Consider the following 15,677-nt stretch of genomic DNA (forward strand, 5'->3'; position numbering starts at 1 on the left):
ACAAATTTTGTGATGATTTGATTACAGATGCTATGAAGGAAAATCAATGCATAAATGAGTAACAGCAGGGCATGGCCAGGCCTATGTGATCAGGAAAAGCCTTGATTTTATATCTGAAGGAGAATGAGTACGAGTTAACTAGCTAAGTAGGGAATGCATTTCAGGGAAAATGAGCACTAAGAGCTAAAGCTCAGTAGTAGAAAGGAGTATAGAGCCAAAGAAGCTGTTGAGAAAGCCAACCCAGGTCTTTGTGTCTGAGCACAGGGGACACAGAGTGGTATGAGAAGAGACTGACCAGTGGGCAGGGCCATGTCAGACATACCATGTATTTCACCATTTGTTTTAACAGCTACATCATGAACATGTTCCAAGCAAGCCATGCGAATCTCATTTTGAGAAGGTCACCGAGATTTTGGGGGGCTGAAAGGCCATTAGAAGGGGATGTCAGTGTATGGGGGAGAGCAGCTGGGAAGCCACTGTGAAAACCAGGCAAGAAGTGATGCCAGTTTTGACTAGGACAATTCAAAATACCCGAAACCATCGTTAATCTCTCCTCTGAGTTAAGGAGGAATAAAGTTCCTGTAAAGTTGTTTTCTGGGAGGTAGATGGTCACTTTGCACTCACCTTTACCATTCATAGAAAGGTTTAGCAGATCAGTCCTGATAAGAAAGAAGCCGGCCGGGCGCGGTGGCTCACGCCTGTAATCCCAGCACTTTGGGAGGCCGAGGCGGGTGGATCACGAGGTCAGGAGATCGAGACCATCCTGGCTAACACGGTGAAACCCCGTCTCTACTAAAAATACAAAAAATTAGCCGGGCGAGGTGGCGGGCGCCTGTAGTCCCAGCTACTCGGGAGGCTGAGGCAGGAGAATGGCGTAAACCCCAGGGGGCGGAGCCTGCAGTGAGCCGAGATTGCGCCACTGCACTCCAGCCTGGGCGACAGCGAGACTCCGTCTCAAAAAAAAAAAAAAAAAAAAAAAAAAAAAGAAAGAAGCCCCAGAGGATGGGCCTCAGGTTAGCAAATAGTGGAAACCAGAATCCTTGTTTGGAGGCACGGTCTGCACAGGTGTGGTAGGTGAAGCTTGGCAGCTGGGAGTTAGCAGATGCTCCTCAGACCTCACACCTGATAGTGCCAATCAATCTGGTGCTAATCCGAACACAGGAAAGGATACAGAGAGGCCCAGAGAGCCGGCCCTATCACTTCTCTATGTTGCTGAGTGTTTGCTCTACCGTGTGTTTCATGAATTCACAGAGACACTTTAAAAATTATAATAACAAGAAAATGTGGTATATATACACAATGGACTACCATTTAGCCATAAAACGAATCAAAGCTTGTGATTTTTGGCAACGTGAATGAGCCTGGAACACTTTATGTTAAGCAAAAGATAAATATCATATCGTCTCACTCATATGTGGAAGCTGAAAAAGTTGAGCTCATGGAAGTAGAGAGTAGAATTGTGGTTATTAGAGGCTGGGAAGGGGATTGGGGAGGAGAGGACAGGGAGAGATTGATTAATGGACAAAAAAATGACAGCCAGATAGGAATAAGTTCTGGTGTTATGCACTACTGTAGGGTGAATAAGGCTAACTATGATATATGTTTACAAAAAGCTAGAAGAGAATTTTGAATGTTCACAGCACAAAGAAATGATAAATGTTTCAGGGCATGGTTATGCTAATTACCCTGATTTGAACATTAAACATTGTATACATATATCAGAATATCGCTCTGTATCTCATAAATATGTATGATTATTATGTGTCAACTGAAAAGGAAAAAATAAATAAAAAAGTATAATGATAAAGGGTAGAACTGGAAGGGATGCAGAGATCATCTAATGGAGTGGTTCTCAAAGTGCGGTCCAGAAACTTCTGCTTCCAGGAAGATGGAGATGTCCTTTTCCCTATTCTCCTGGTAAGTACAGATAAATACCCTGGATGTTTTTCATTTTCAAGTTTTTTAAATTTTTATTTTAAACCGATGAATAATTGTACATATTTATGGGTCCAATGTGATGTTTTGATATACATTGTAGAATGAGTATATCTAGCTAATTAATGTGTCCATCACTTCAAATGTGTATTTCTTTGTGGTGAGAACATTTAAAATGTATTTTTTTAGAAATCTGAAATATACATGATTATTAACTATGGTCACCATGCTGTGCAATAGATCTTGAAAACGTATTTCAAGATCTATTACTAACTGAAACTTAGTACCCTCTGGTCAACATCTCCCCATTCTGCACTACCCATCCCCAAGCCCTGACAACCACCATTCTACTCTCTATTTCTTTAAGTTTGACTTTTTAAAGATTCTGCAAATCAGTGAGATAATACAGTATGTGTCTTTCTGTGTCTGGCTTACTTCACTTAGCATTAAGCCTGCACATTTTTAGAGAAAGCAAACATGAGACTCTGAAGGGTAGAAAAAGAAGGGAGGCTGACTAGAGAGCTCAAGAATGACTCCTTAGGGAATGATGAGTTCCCTAGTTTTCTTTTTGACTCATATACAGACTTAGAGCTGAAGACACTTGCAACCTGAAAACATCAACAGCCACACACAAAACAAAAACAAACCCAAACCCAAAAATGTTCTGCTCTTGGGCCTGGAAAGGGGCATCCCAGCAAGACAGAGAACTTATAGACAATAATCATTATATTCTAGGCAAAGTATGGTACCTGGACCAAGCAGCATCAGCATCACCTGGGAACTTATTAGAAATGCAAATTCGCAGGCCCCACCCCAGACTTACCGAATCAGAAACTTGGGTCTGGAGCCCAGTAGTCTGTGTTTAATGAGTCCTGTGGGAGATTCTGATGTGTGCTCAAGGTTGGGAACTGCTGGTGGGGTACAGCTGGTCTTTTGTTTGACAGCAGAAACTCCGGTTGATTTCCCCCAGGTGATAGTTTGTGAGTAGTCTAGCGCTTGTTCTAGATTTGCCTAGAATGACTCTTCTAGTGCTAAAATCTAAGGTGAACAGAGAAAATTTTATTTTTTATTTTACAAATGTTTTTATTTTAGATCCAGGGGATAAAATGCTTATTTGTTACATGGATATATTGTGTCATGGCGGAGAATGGCTTTCTAGTAAAACAGAGAATTTTCAATAAAACATAAATTAAGTGGTAACAAATGTTAGTATGTGTATTGTTTTAATTAAGTGCTTGGCACATAGTGGATTCTAGATAAATATTTGTTGAATGTTGAACATATTGTAAGTCTTTGATTCAGTTATAGTTTCAGAGAAGATGCTGAAAGAAAGAGGATCTTTTGGAAAACCTCAGTCAGCATCTGCAAATCATCTACAGCATCTATGAACCTGTCCCAGCAAAGATGGCTGCCGCAGGCAAATGGGTTGCACAATGTTCTTTCACATGCCTGGTCTCTTTTTTCTCAATATAAGGCTTTATACATACATGACATCATATCATGCCAGAATTTCTCAACTCTACACTATCACCTTTTCCTAGATTCCTGTAGTTCAAGCACTAAGTCTATTCTCCAGGTTACTTAGAAGGTGATTTTTAAAAAATAGTGCAGTTTTGTAATTGTCCCTCCATTGGATCTTAGCCCCAGACCACATTTACATCATTAAACCTTTGGTTTAATTGGACAAGAGCAAAGCATAAATGTCTGCTGCTTGAAAAATAAACATTTCTGTATTGTCTAGATGTTTATCTCAACATATAGTTACAATTACTCAGAGACTAAATGGGGTTTTAAAATTTATTTAAAAAGTCGTGGCTGCTAGGATAAACTGAAAAAAGCCAAGTTTGAATCCAAACTTTATTTTTACAAGTAGTTTTCTAACAACCCTTAAGGGGTTCTGGGTAACCCCTTAGGTATGAGGAGAGCTCAACAGTGACTAAATTGGGTAGGACAATGAGGCACTTTGACCCTGCAGATGCCAGGGACCTACTGTCACTTTAGTCTGGCTGTTCTGGCAGTCTGCTATTTTGTATTTTGTAAAGCTTGTTGAAAACAGCACTAAAGCTTTGTTTTAAAGATTTTTCAAGCCACTGGGTTCAACAGATGAAGAGGGGTGATAATTGGGTAGGCATCTGAAAAGTCTACTGAAGGATCCTTTTCTAATTCTCACCACCAAAGCCAGCATATACAAAAGGCGGCAGGAGACATGGAAACAGTGCCTTAGGAAGTGAAGGCTCAAGGTGAGACACTTTCTGAGGGGACCAAATATGCACAAGCCAAGCATATGCCTTATGCTAGCTTCCTGATGCCATTTGTGTGTTGATTGTGACATACCACTTGGCTCAGAAACCCATAGGAACTTGATGCTGGTTTATAGCAGTAGTTCTAAAAGTGTAGTGCTAGACCAGCAGCCTTAGTGTCACTCGGGAATGTGTTAGAAATGCAAATTGCCTGGCCCCACCCCAGACCTACTCAATGAGAAACTGTGGGGATGGAGCCCAGCAGTCTGTTTTAACGAGCACCCCCAGGTGATTCTAGTGTACACTAGAGTCTGAGAGCTACTGCAGTAATTTGAAAGAGAGCATATTTTTTCAAAGGGACACAGCATCTCATTGCTCATGTGAAAAGTCAGTTCAAAGCCTGACTAGGAAACCGCAGTAACCATGTCAAAGGCAAGAAAGGAGTCTTTTAAAAACCAGATACACAAAGCAATGGCTCTCCTGCTGGTTTTGAGAGGAATGAGAAAATTCAAGGAAATGGAGGAAGCTATACATCTGAAAGAACCAGAAAGCAAATAGCCAGTAGGCTCCAGCGCACATGTGAAACATATTTGAATAACTCGATTCAACTCTCATATATTCTCTGCCTTAAACTTTTTCCAGATTATTTGCAGTTAGCAAAGTTTGTATATCTTGTTTGTGAACTCGACAGCAAAACTAAGTGATAACCCTTCTCTTTGTGGTGGTGTGAGTGGGGGATGGTGAGTACAGTTTATGCATAATTTGTGTCCATCATGTGAACATAACTGAGGAAGCACACTGATATGGTTTGGCTCTGTGTCCCCATCCAAATATTATGCTGAATTGTAATTCCCAATGTTGGGGGAGGGACCTGGGTGGAGGTGATTGGATCATGGGGGCAGATTTTCCCCATGTTGTTCTCATAATAGTGAGTGAGTTCTCACGAGATCTGATGGTTTAAAAGTGTAGGGCACAACCCCCTTCACTCTCTCTCCGGCTCTGCCATGGTAAGATGTGACTGCTTCCCCTTCACCGTCTGCCATAATTGTAAGTTTCCTGGGGCCTCACAGCCATGCTTCCTGTACAGCCTGCGGAACAGTGAGTCAATTAAACCTGTTTTCTTCATAAGTTACCCAGTCTCAGGTAGTTCTTTATAGCAGTGTGAGAACGGACTAATAGACACACCTACCCGAATTTATTACACAGATGTCATGGGAGCCTCCCAGGAAGGATGTTTGTCTCTGACCAGTAACTAATCTGGAGTCACCTGAGGGAAGGAGTAATCCCTCCCGGGCGTCCTATCCTGGCAATCACCTGGATTTGCCTCTTGACTCCTAGTTCTGTGCAAGATAGGTGAACTGTAGGTAAAAACGGTAGTTTCACGTAAAAAACTCAGAGATCTTTGAGCATAAGCAGCACTGCTTTGGTGTCTGCAAGGAAAAATATAACTCAATTGAGAGAAAGATTCCATCCTGTCTCTCCTGTAAGGAAAATGGCTTCTGTTTTAAGGCATTCAGAACTCCGGGAAACACAGTCAAGCATTTCCTGACTCGGCAACTGGGAATCAGTTGAGGGTCTCTCAGATTCATGTTGGTGCTGCCTGAACAACCTTGGCATTAGTATTATAAAGAACACAATACAGTGGGGAGTTTGCATTTTCCTCTTGTTTATTTTCAATTGCATTTATGGTTGATGGGGCTGGGTGCTGGGTGGGGTACAGGGCAAGTTTCTCTATATCTTCATTTCCTTTGTCTCACACTGTAACACCTAGGTCGTAGCTTAGTTTACACAGCTAGTGTTCAACTAATTATGTTGATTGAGATAACTGCTGAAAGCAAACCTTTTAAGAATTATTTGCGTAATAAAAATGTGGCATGCCTGTGAATTATAAACAGAGTCCGTTTACTTTTCAAAATATTCCTAACCAACCAGAAACCTCATAATCAACTAACGGTGCTGGGAAACTAGGAGAAAAATACTTCAGAAACTTTAGTTAGGGGAGCAACTAGGTATATATTTGTTTTTAACCAAGTTCTACCTCAGTTTCCCACTTATGGTTTCTGCTTGAAGATCCCACCAAGACCCAGGCCTTGTCATGAATGCCGATGGGTGGCTGTGCTCCTTTAGCCTACCTTTTACCGTCTGCCTTCCTTGGCCTTGTCTCTGCTTCCTGCAGCCCCTGGCACCGCCTCCGTCCTTCACTCCCTCCCACTTGTGTGGGTCCTGCATTTGGGTGGCTTTCTTAGAAAAAGCCACTGCCTTCCTGCCTGATGGCAAGTATGGTCTGATGCTTGTGTTTCCTGGTGTTCCCTGTATTGGCAAGGACCTCTGGCTACCAACCAACAACTGCCCAATTCTCTATTACGTTTGTATTGTCCTTGTTACTACTCTACTGCCTTTGTTCAAGTTCGCTGAAATCATTAGTTAGTTTCAACATCAGTCCTACCATGCTTTGTGGCGAGCAAATTTCTAGCCTTTTCCTAATACCTCCATGAAAAAAAAATTATTTTAAGTTCTGGGGTACACGTGCAGGATGTGCAGGTTTGTTACATAGGTAAAGATGTGCCATAGTGGTTTGCTGCACCTATCAACCCATCACCTAGGTATTAAGCCCAGCATGCATTAGCTCTTTTCCCTAATGCTCTCCCTCCCCCGCCTCACCTCCTGCCCTCCCCTGACAGGCTCCTGTGAGTGTTGTTCCCCTCCCTGTGACCATTGTTCACCTCCCACTTATAAGTGAGAACGTGCAGTGTTTGGTTTTCTGTTCCCGTGTTAGTTCGCCGAGGATAATGGCTTCCAGATTCATTCATGTCCCTGCAAAGGACATAATCTTGTTCCTTTTTATGGCTATATAGTGTTCCACGGTGTATATATACCACATTTTCTTTATCCAGACTATCATTGATGGGCATTTGGGTTGATTCCACGTCTTTGCTATTGTGAATAGTGCTGCAGTGAACATACACATGCATGTGTCTTTATAATAGAATGACTTATATTCCTTTGGGTATGTACCCAGTAATGGGATTTCTGGGTCAAATGGTATTTCTGCCTCTCGGTCTTTGAGGAATTGCCGCACTGTCTTCCACAATGGTTGAACTAATTTACATTCCCACTAACAATGTAAAAGCGTTCCTATTTCTTCACAGCCTTGCCAATATCTGTTGTTTCTTGACTTTTTAATAATCACCATTCTGACTGGCATGAGATGGTATCATTGTTTGATTTGCATTTCTAATTTTATGAAGTGATACTCGGGTCAAAAAGTGTGCACATACTGGACAGGCTAAATAGGATGAAGGCATTGTTTCTTAACCCAAACATTAGCAAGTGTTTCTAAGAGTGTGGTCTATGGGGCTATCTGCATCAGAATCATTTGGGGAGCAAATTAACGAAGGAAATTTCTGGGTCCTTCCTCCAGTAACTAGTTTTTTTGATTCTGTAAGTCTAAGAAACAGGTTTTTATCGTTGTTGTTGTTTGTTTTGCTTTAAACCCAGCCAGTTTGAGAGCCACTGCTTTATATTTCGTTCTTAATTTTGGCTAAAAATCCCAGGGTAGAGGTGAGGGGTAGGGAGGTGAAGAGGTGCTTTTAAAAAAATATACATTGCGTGGGTCTCAACACGTCAATTAAATGAGAAGTTCTGAATGTAGAGACTAGGCACTGGCATTTTTAAAAAGCTTCCGAAGTATAGTGCAGCCAGGTTTAAAAACAACTTCTTTAGTTTTGATTATTAATATATGTGGTTTCAAAAGTCTGTAGTGCAAAAACTGCCTTCATTAAGTTATTTCTCTTTAGCAACGTTGTTTACAACCTTCCTTTCTATAGGTCATGTTAATAAAATGTACTTCCTTCTGTGTTATGGAATCATCTTTCCTCTTTTCTTTATTGCTTTTATTTTTCTGGTTAAGTTAAAACATATAAAGCTGGCTTTGCAAGCTGATGGTCCACAGCTAAAATTGGTCTAGCAGGTGTGTTTTGTGTTTGCAGAGTACTTTAAAAAAGATTTAAGCCAATAGTTAAATTGTGACTTTCGACATAAAAATTCAGACTTGACAAAATGAAGGAAAAAGCAGATGTCTCCTTAACATGGGAGCCACCTTCCCCAGAAAGCAGTTGGGTAGCAGTGAGCCCCAGCTGCCCCCTTTAGGGGGCTAAGTGCTGCCTGCCCATCAGCCCTCCTTGACCCATTTATGCCATGCCCCTCTGACACTTCTGGTCATGACCTTCAGGATAAATAAGTGAATTTAATCAATTAACATTTGGGCATCTACTAAGTGTCAGGCATTCTATGATACATGTTTTTCTTGAACAGACCTATGACAAATGTATTATCTTCTTTGTAGAAATATAAGGTGGGGCATGGCTGAGCAAGGCTGACCAGGGACTGGGTCAGAATTCTAATCCAGATCTGTATGCTGCCAAAGCACCTCCAGATCCTCATACTTGTAAAAACTGCAGGAGATTTGGCTTGGTTCCACAACTCTGAGATTAAAGAGAAGGAACATTTTGGGGCACCTGGGAAGTATTTTGCATTCCTTTAAGGCTCTAACACCTGGATTAAGGGAATTCTGAAACCAGTAAATTTGGGGGAGGGCTTTAGTCTAATTAGCTTGAAGAGTCAAAAAAAAAAAAAAAAAAAAAAAGAGAAAGCTTTTGGGCTATTTAAGACCGATTTGCAATCCCATCAAGTGGATGCAATCGTGTATGTAACCTGAACATTTCAAGGAGAGTTAATAATGACTTCTCAGGCACCCGGGGGAACTGAACGGGAAGAACATTTGTTCAACGTAGTTAGTTATCTGAGCATTTTTTTTTTTGTAAAACAAATTCTTGAGTGTACCTCTGAAGTGAGGCCTCATGCCCACATCTCAATAGCAGTCACTTTGGCTTCCCGTAGTCTAAAGTACCACCTTTTTAGTGTAGTTTACAATTTACGTTATAAATATTTTACCAGAGTTACTTTGTTAAATAGCATTTTATATTCTTTGTGTGATTTTCAGTGACATCTTGGGGTCAGAATCATTCCCTTAGAAATGGATCTCAATTTTTGGTGTATTAATAGAAAAATCCTGTTCCTAGACAAGTTTCTAGAAAACATCTGCTTAACCAAAGCATGCAACTGTTTTCTTCTCTAGAGTGTTTTCAGGGTCCTAAAAATGGGTTGGGAAGAAGGCTACTAGTGAGCTGTTCTGAATCTAGAAACTTCCCGTTTCTCAAGTAGGCTGTGTGAACTGGCAAGTTAATAAAAGAAGTGGTAAAAAGGCACTGAAAGACATTAAAAAAAAAAGGTAGTAGTTATTGGGACAGGATAATATTTAAACCATTTAATGAGACCGTGTTCAATAAGTTTTTGCCTTTGTATTCCTGCATTGTCTGCTGTGGGGTAGTTGGCTGTGTCTATTAGTATATTGTCAACCTCGGTCATCATTGGCTCAGGGTTCAGCTGAGCCTAACTCTGAGGTTAGCATGTCTTCATCATCTATAGCTAACTGAACTTAGACCAGATAGATGCTTGTTTTCCCCTACTACCAGGAGACCAGAACTGAGTAGCACCTTGTGCTTTTTTGGTGACAGCCTAGTCCCACACTACCTTTCTGATCAGCACCTTGCAAGGGCTACTGTAGTTAGTCCTAATATGAAAGGAAAATTGACTACTTTTTTTTAAAGTTATACTTTAAGTCCTGGGATACATGTGTAGAATGTGCAGGTTTGTTAAACAGGTATACACGTGCTATGGTGGTTTGCTGCACCCATCAACCCGTTATCTACATTAGGTGTTTCTCCTAATGCTATCCCTTCCCTAGCTCTCCACCCACTGACAGGCCCTGGTATGTGATGTTCCCCTCCCTGTGTCCATATGTTCTCATTGTTCAACTCCCACTTATGAGTGAGAACATGCAGTGTTTGGTTTTCTGTTCCTGTGTTAGTTTGCTGAGAGTGATGGTTTCCAGCTTCATCCATGTCCCTGCAAAGGACATGAACTCATCCTTTTTTATGGCTGCATAGTATTCCATGGTGTATATGTGCCACATTTTCTTAATCCAGTCTATCATTGATGGGCATTTGGGTTGGTTCCAAGTCTTTGCTATTGTGAACAGTGCTGCAATAAATATACGTGTGCATGTGTCTTTATAGTAGAGTGATTTATAATCCTTTGGGTATATACCCAGTAATGGGTTTGCTAGGCCAAATGGTATTTCTGGTTCTAGGTCCTTGAGGAATTGCCACACTGTCTTCCACGATGGTTGAACTAATTTACACTCCCACCACCAGTGTAAAAGCATTCCTGTTTCTCCACGTTCTCTCCAGCATCTGTTGTTTCGTGACTAAATGATCACCATTCTTACTGGTGTGAGATGGTATCTCATTGTGGTTTTGATTTGCAGAAAACTAATTTTCTAATTCTAATTCCCAGGATGCCACCCTAGACCATTCAAAGGGAGGGCAGCTAGGAGAGTTGCGCTACTATGGGGGCTCATTTTTCTCTGCTGATCTGGACCTAGTTTTTTATGTCAGCTCCCTGTTTTATCCCGTCAGTATAGGTAGATTCTCTAGTGCTAGGAGCCACCTCTCTAAGGTGGGTATAGAGGCTGTAGATTCTCTCCCAGATCTTGGTGTATAATGAATGGGTCAGAGAGACTGGCTGACATCCTTAGGCCCTCAAATGAAGGATTTTGATTATTGCAGTTTACTGAAAGTTAAGACCCTGGACTTGAGGTAATGCTTCCTGGTATTTATCCACAGAGGTGCCCACAAATCCACCTTTGCAACAGGCTTCCATCAGAGCTAAGAATAATTTCCTCGTGGTTTACTTTTGGTAAAGGTTGTCTCAGTAACTGACAGCTCTTAATTAAGCAATAGTTTTGTGATCTCTCAGCCAGGAGGTGGTGGAGAATAGTAATATGAGGTCAAGGACTGGAAACATTCAGACCAGCAGTCAAATCCTTACTTATGGGTTACTGGAACACAAAGCTCTGAGCCTCAATGCCCTTATTTGTAAAAAGGGACAATATCAAACTGAGGAGGGGAGTATTGGAGGATTAAATGAGAATGTCTATCAAGTGCTATCACAGAGCCTGGCACACAAGTGCTCAATGGATAGGATGTGTTTTTAATGAGGAAATATTCCTAAAGTTATCCTCAACCTCTCATTCATCAGGTATCCAAAGGTCTCCAGACTTTCAGAATAGGAACACTTCCACAGACTGCCATCAGCAGGAGTCAAGGCATTGTCGGCTCTGGCTGCAGGCTCAGCATCGTGCATTTATCAGGGGCTGCTTGCTTGCCTGAGCCAGAGTAAGACCACACTCTCAGCAGTCCACCATCAGCAGAGTCAGAAGCGGGTCAGAACCCTACAGACTGCCATTTGGCAGTTGCTATGGTTTGAATGTGTCCCCTCTAAAATTCTGGTGCTGCCTATGTGATAGTATTGAGAGGTGAGGCCTTTAAGAGATGATTAGGCTATGAGGGCTCCTCCCTCGTGAATGGGATTAAAGCCCTTAAGAGTCTTCAGAAGCATTTGGCTAGCTTACTCTTGTACTTTGTTACCTGAGGAAACAGTAAGAAGGCCCTCACTGGACCAGGTGTTGGCACCTCGGCTCTTGGACTTCCTGGCCTCTAGGACTATGGGGAAATTAATCTCTGTTCTTTTAAACTTACCTCGTCTCAGGTATTCCATTATAGTCGCAGAAAGGGACTAAGACAGTGGGTGTCCAGAGTGAGCCTACATTAAAAAAGATCACCCTTCTTTAGGGTGTACTTCCTTCAGTGGAGTGAATTAGAAGTCTAGGACTAGTTCTGTTCCTGGAAAGACTCCCTCCCCAACCTGCTCTCAACACTCACAACTTCTCCATTGCTATCTGCCTGGGGACCAGCAGCAAAAACTCCATCACATTCCTTACCCCTGTGCAACGTGACATGTTTAGGACTCTCAGGTCATTGCTCATTCCCCATATAATTCCACCACCTCCTCTGACCTGTCTCCCTCACCTCATCACCTCTTGAAATTCTTACGCTTTTTTCCTAGGAACACAAGGTCAATCATGATCAAAATAACCTTTATGCGGAGCCTCTTCTGAGAAAGTTGTCTTCACTTTCTTGCTCTAACTGAAAACTGCTCTGCTCTTATTGGCTCCTCTGTGGTCTTTTACATCCACCCTACCAAGGAGTCTGGAGGTCAGGAAGGTGCCATACTTCCTCTTCGTATCCCCTTCCAGATCTCTTTTTTCCCCTCATAAAACACTCAGCCTTGAACCTCAAGTAATTGGACTCTATTTTCCTCTACCTCTCTTTATTGCAGTTGTTTACTGCCTCCCATCTTAGCCCACTCCCTCTTACTTTTTTTTGATTACTTTAGCTTTCAGTTAACTCTTTAATGCTACTCCTGTTATAATTCTTAGTGATTTAATATCCATATTTATAATCTTTCCAATACACTGGCTTCCCAGACTGATAATATTAAAATGTCAGATCATGTCACACCTTGTTGAAAATTCTCCAGGGACTTTCTACTTTATGTAAGGAGCCTGATCATATAAGGCTTTACAAATCATAACACAGGCTCTGAATTTTACCGTTATTGTTCCTTCCAATCAGCTTCACAGATCTCCTTGGTACTCCATGTGCACTACACAAACAGTCCTGCCTTAGGGATTTCATACTGCTGTTCCCTCTGCCTGGAGTTCTCTTCTCCAAGAAGTATGGTTTGGTCTCTGTTTATTCAGATCTTGAATCAAAAGCCACCTTCTTATTGAGGTTTTCCATGAACATCTTATCTAAAATGCCAAAACCCCTGCTGAGATTTCATATCTGAGTTCTTCCTTATGTTTTCTCATTAGCATTTATCACTCTGTAATACAGTATTTTATTATTCCCCACTAGAATGTAAGCTTCATGAGGGAAGGAGTTTTTGTCTATTTTGTGACTCCAGTGCCTAGGGAAGTGTCTGACACTTGATACTTAATGTTTGCTTATTATTAACACATTGTCATTGGTAAAGTTCTTATCTGTTATGTTCACCATTCACTCATTGAATAGTCAGTTTATTTTGAAAATGAAACCTTCCAACTGAAATGGAATAGTCTATCTTTCATGGAACAATCACATGTCCACACCTTTTCCCTATTCATTCCCTAAAAGGAACCAAGCTGATGACCATCTCATAGCTCTTTCTAAAGCAAGCAGTCATACATAAGATCCATATTCAAAACAGTTTTACTGTACTCAGTTTAAAAAATAATCCTGGTCCATGCTGGCATATTTTGGCACAATGAGATGATTAAGTGCCACAGCCCATACAAGATTGTCAAGTAGGGGAAGCCTGGTTTGGGTCCTGTGGGATATCCTCAATCAGCCCTCCTGTTCCTGTTTCAGGGTCCTCGTCTTCAGGTACTTTTACCACAGGGCCCTCTGGAGCCCTATATTGGCAGTGAACAGTTTATGGACAACTTGGGTCATGAACAGAGCTCAGTATAATTACATTAAAAATTAAACAACTTAAAATCTATTTGGTAAAGACTTAAAGAATAACCTCAGGTGGGGTTATTGTATTTTTAAGTGGAAATTATGAGAACTGCCTAGTTGCCCAGATGTAGAGAAGATAGGGAGAATTCATGGGCTCAGAACTTTCAAGGCTGCGGGCAAAGGACATAAGCAGAAACTTCTCAAAAGGACATTTATGCGGCCAACAAACATGAAAAAAAGCTCAGCATCACTGATCATTTGAGAAATGCAAATCAAAACCACAATGAGATACCATGTCACACCAGTAAGAATGGTGATTATTAAAAAGTCAAGAAACAACAGATACTGACGAGGCTGTGGAGAAATAAGAACACTTTTACACTGTTGGTGGGAATGTAAATTAGGTTGACCATTGTGGAAGACAGTCGGGGCAATTCCTCAAAGACCTAGAGGCAGAAATACCATTTGACCCAGCAATCCCATTACTGGGTATATACTCAGAGGAATAAAAATCATTCTATTATAAAGACACATGCAACTGTATGTTCACTGTAGCACTAGTCACAATAGCAAAGACATGGAATCAACCTAAATGTCCATCAGTGATAGAATGGATAAAGAAACTGTGGTACATATACACCATGGAATACTATGCAGCCATAAAAAGGAAAGAAGTCATGTCCTTAGTAGGGACATGGAGGGAGCTGGAAGCCATTATCCTCAGCAAACTAACACAGGAACAGAAAACCAAACACTGCATGTTCTCCCTTATAAGTGGGGGCTGAACAAAGAGACATGGACACTGGGAGGGGAACAACAGACACTCGGGCCTCTTGAGAGGGAGGGAGGAGCATCAGGAAGAACAGTTAATGCATGCTGGGCTTAATATCTAGGTGATGGGTTGATAGATGCAGCAAACCACCATGGCACACGATTACCTATGTAACAAACCTGCACATCTTGCACATGTATCCTAGAACTTACAATTAAAAAAAATTTCAAGGCTGAAGCCAAGAATACCTGTAGGTGTTTCTGACCCCATTTTTAGTTGTACAGAAGAAGGGATAATGATTACTTGGATTAATGCTTCTGAAAGTTTGCTGACCCCTGGTCTAAATGTTATTAAATACGTAACAAGTTCCCCTACATATTGGTAAGGTGAAAAATATAGGTATATGACACATGACTGTGGAAGTAGAGACATTTGAATGCAGTAATAGAAAGGTTTAAAATCGGTAAGCCCTCTTTGTTAGTGAATTTAATTTCCTTCTAATAGACACATTTAAGAGTTGTAGTCATTACTCTAGCCTAGCTTTGAACTCGGCCGAGCCCTCCAGTCACCTTCTACACCTTTCCAATCATTTTGAGAAAAACTGGAGATGAAGTAGAGAGAAATGAGGCCTCAGGAGTGGAGCGGGGAGATATCTTAAAATTTTTCCTTTCAAGTCTGACGTATTGATCTCTGTGCTGGAGACATGAAAGCATACATAGAACATCATAAAGTATTTTGTCACATAAAAATGGGTTAACATTAGCAGTCACGTGATTATTGGAGGTTTACTTTGGTCACTCATCCTGTTCTTCTAAGGTAAAGACAAACCAGAAATGAACAGCTTGTTAGTTACATTTCTCTTTGTGAAATATATTTGTTCTTCCTTGATTTATAGACCTTTCTTTCAGGTGATGTGAAATAGAACTAATATAAACTGTATCAACACACACATATCCACCTTTAAAACTTCTATGAGATGTAGCCTTAAGAAGTTACTGAACAATGGTTTTGAAAGGTTTCTCAAAATTATATGAAGAACAGTTTTATAATGCAAATGGTTTTTATAATTGACAAACATTTACATAATTTTCAATAAAATGTGTTCCAACACCTTGGCAAATTATTGCTTAATACTATAAAAATATGGCATTAATGAAATTGAAAAGACAAATATCATCAGCTTAAGTATCAAAATCAATCTTCATTTGAAATTAATGTTATCAAATACAATATGTTATGTGAATGCAGATTGATTCTTTGACTCAT

At 40.8% G+C, this 15,677-nt stretch overlaps 1 annotated feature.

Moving 5' to 3' along the window:
• Positions 4,198-4,944: an enhancer, noted in NCBI's record as "NANOG hESC enhancer chr15:46240311-46241057 (GRCh37/hg19 assembly coordinates)". NCBI's record gives its function as "activates a minimal SCP1, AML or CMV promoter by ChIP-STARR-seq in naive and primed H9 embryonic stem cells {active_cell/tissue: H9 hESC(naive and primed)}" and the evidence as "EXISTENCE:reporter gene assay evidence [ECO:0000049][PMID:30033119]".

This window comes from Homo sapiens, chromosome 15 (genome assembly GCF_000001405.40).
Source record: "Homo sapiens chromosome 15, GRCh38.p14 Primary Assembly".
NCBI classification, from domain to species: Eukaryota; Metazoa; Chordata; class Mammalia; order Primates; family Hominidae; genus Homo; species Homo sapiens.